Genomic DNA, 2,055 nt, shown 5'->3' with positions numbered 1-2,055 from the left:
AGGGGAAGGGGGAGAGCACCACATCAAGGGAGCACCTCGTGGGACCAAAGAATCTGAACAGCAGCACTGAGCCTCAGATCCTCCTTCTGACAAGCCCTTGAGCCCCAGATCCTCCTTCTGACAGTCTACCCAAGTGAGAAGGAACCAGAAAAACAATTCTGGTAACACAACAAAACAAGGTTCTTAACCCCCCAAAAGGTCACATTAGCTCATCAGCAATGGACCCAAAACAAGAAAAAACCTCTGAATTGCCAGAAAAAGAATTCAGAAGGTTGATTATTAAGCTAATCAAAGTGGCACCAGAGAAAGGTGAAGACTAACTTAAAGAAATTTTTTTTTAAATATGGTTGTATTCGTCTATTTTCATGCTGCTGATAAAGACATACCCAAGACTGGGCAATTTACAAAAGAAAGAGGTTTAATTGGACGTACAGTTCCATGTGACTGGGGAAGCCTCACAATCATGGCAGAAGGCAAGGAGGAGCAAGTCACATCTTAAGTGGATGGCAGCAGGGAAAGAAAGAATGAGAGCCAGGTAAAATGGGTTTCCCCTTATCAAACCATCAGATCTGGTGAGACTTATTCACTATCACAAGAACAGCATGGGGAAAATCGCCCCCCACGATCCAGCCATCTCCCACAAGGTCCCTCCCACAACACGTGGGAATTATAGGAGTACAATTCAAGATGAGATTTGGGTGGGGACGCAGAGCCAAACCCTATCAATGGTACAAAATATGAATGGAAAAATATCCTGTGAAATAGAGAGCATAAATAAAAAAAACAATCACAACTTCTGGAAATGAAGGACACACTTAGAGAAATGCAAAAGGCACTGGAAAATCTCAGCAATAGAACTGAACAAGTAGAAGAAAGAACTTCAGAACTTGAAGACAAAGCTTTCGAGTTAACGTCACGCAACAAAGACAAAGAAAAAATTATTTTAAAAAATAAACAAAGCTTCCAAGAAGTGTGGGATTACGTTAAACAACCAAACCTAAGAATAATTGGTGTTCCTGAGGAAGAAGAAAAATCTAAATATTGAAAAACATATTTGAAGGAATAATAGGGGAAAATTTATCTGGGCTTGCTAGAGATCTAGACATCCAAATGCAAGAAGCTCAGAGAATACCTGGGAAATTCATCACAAAAAGGTCATTGCCTACGGACATAGTCATCAGTTTATCTAAAGTCAAGACAAAGGAAAGAATCTTAAGAGCTGTGAAGCAAAAACATCAGGTAACCTATACAAGAAAACCTATCAGATTAACAGCAGATTTCTCAGCAGAAACCCTACAAGCTAGAAGGGATTGGGGTCCTATTTTCAGCCTCCTTAAACAAAACAATTACCAGCCAAGAATTTTGTATCCAGCTGTGAACCCTGAACATTTGAGATAGGTCTCAATTAATTTAGAAAGTTTATTTTGCCAAGGTTGAGGATGCACACCCATGACACGGCCTCAGGAGGTCCTGATGACATATGCCTAAGGTAGTCAGAGCACAATTTGGTTTTATATATTTTAGGGAGACACGAGACATCAATCAACATATGTAAGGTGAACATTGGTTCTGTTTGGAAAGGTGGGACAACTCAAAGTGGGGAGGGGGCTTCCAAACTGTAGGAAGATAAGAGACAAATGGTTGCATTCTTTTGGGTTTCTGATTAGCCTCCCCAAAGGAGGCAATCAGATATGTATTTATCTCAGTGAGCAGAGGGGTGACTGAATAGAATGGGAGGCAGGTTTGCCCTAAGGAGATCCTAGCTTGACATTTCCCTTTAGCTTAGTGATTTTGGGGGCCCAAGATATTTTTCTTTCACATTCCCCAACCCCTTTTCTTTTTAAAAACCTTTTGGAGAAAGCGTTTTAGAGAAAATGAGTCTCTGGTTCCAGGTTTCATCTGATCTCTCATGGCTAGGATGGCTTATTCCTAGACAGGTAGGTCCCAAGTTATTAGGAAAGTTCATTTTTAGAAGGTTGTGAAGTCTCATGTCCTATGAAGAGAAAAATAGGGGGAGGAAGAGAGAAAAACAATAACAAACAAAAGAACAATCCT

Source organism: Homo sapiens, chromosome 6 (genome assembly GCF_000001405.40).
Source record: "Homo sapiens chromosome 6, GRCh38.p14 Primary Assembly".
Classification (NCBI taxonomy): Eukaryota; Metazoa; Chordata; class Mammalia; order Primates; family Hominidae; genus Homo; species Homo sapiens.
The sequence above is the reverse complement of the archived record's forward strand: the minus strand, read 5'-3'. Positions refer to the sequence as shown.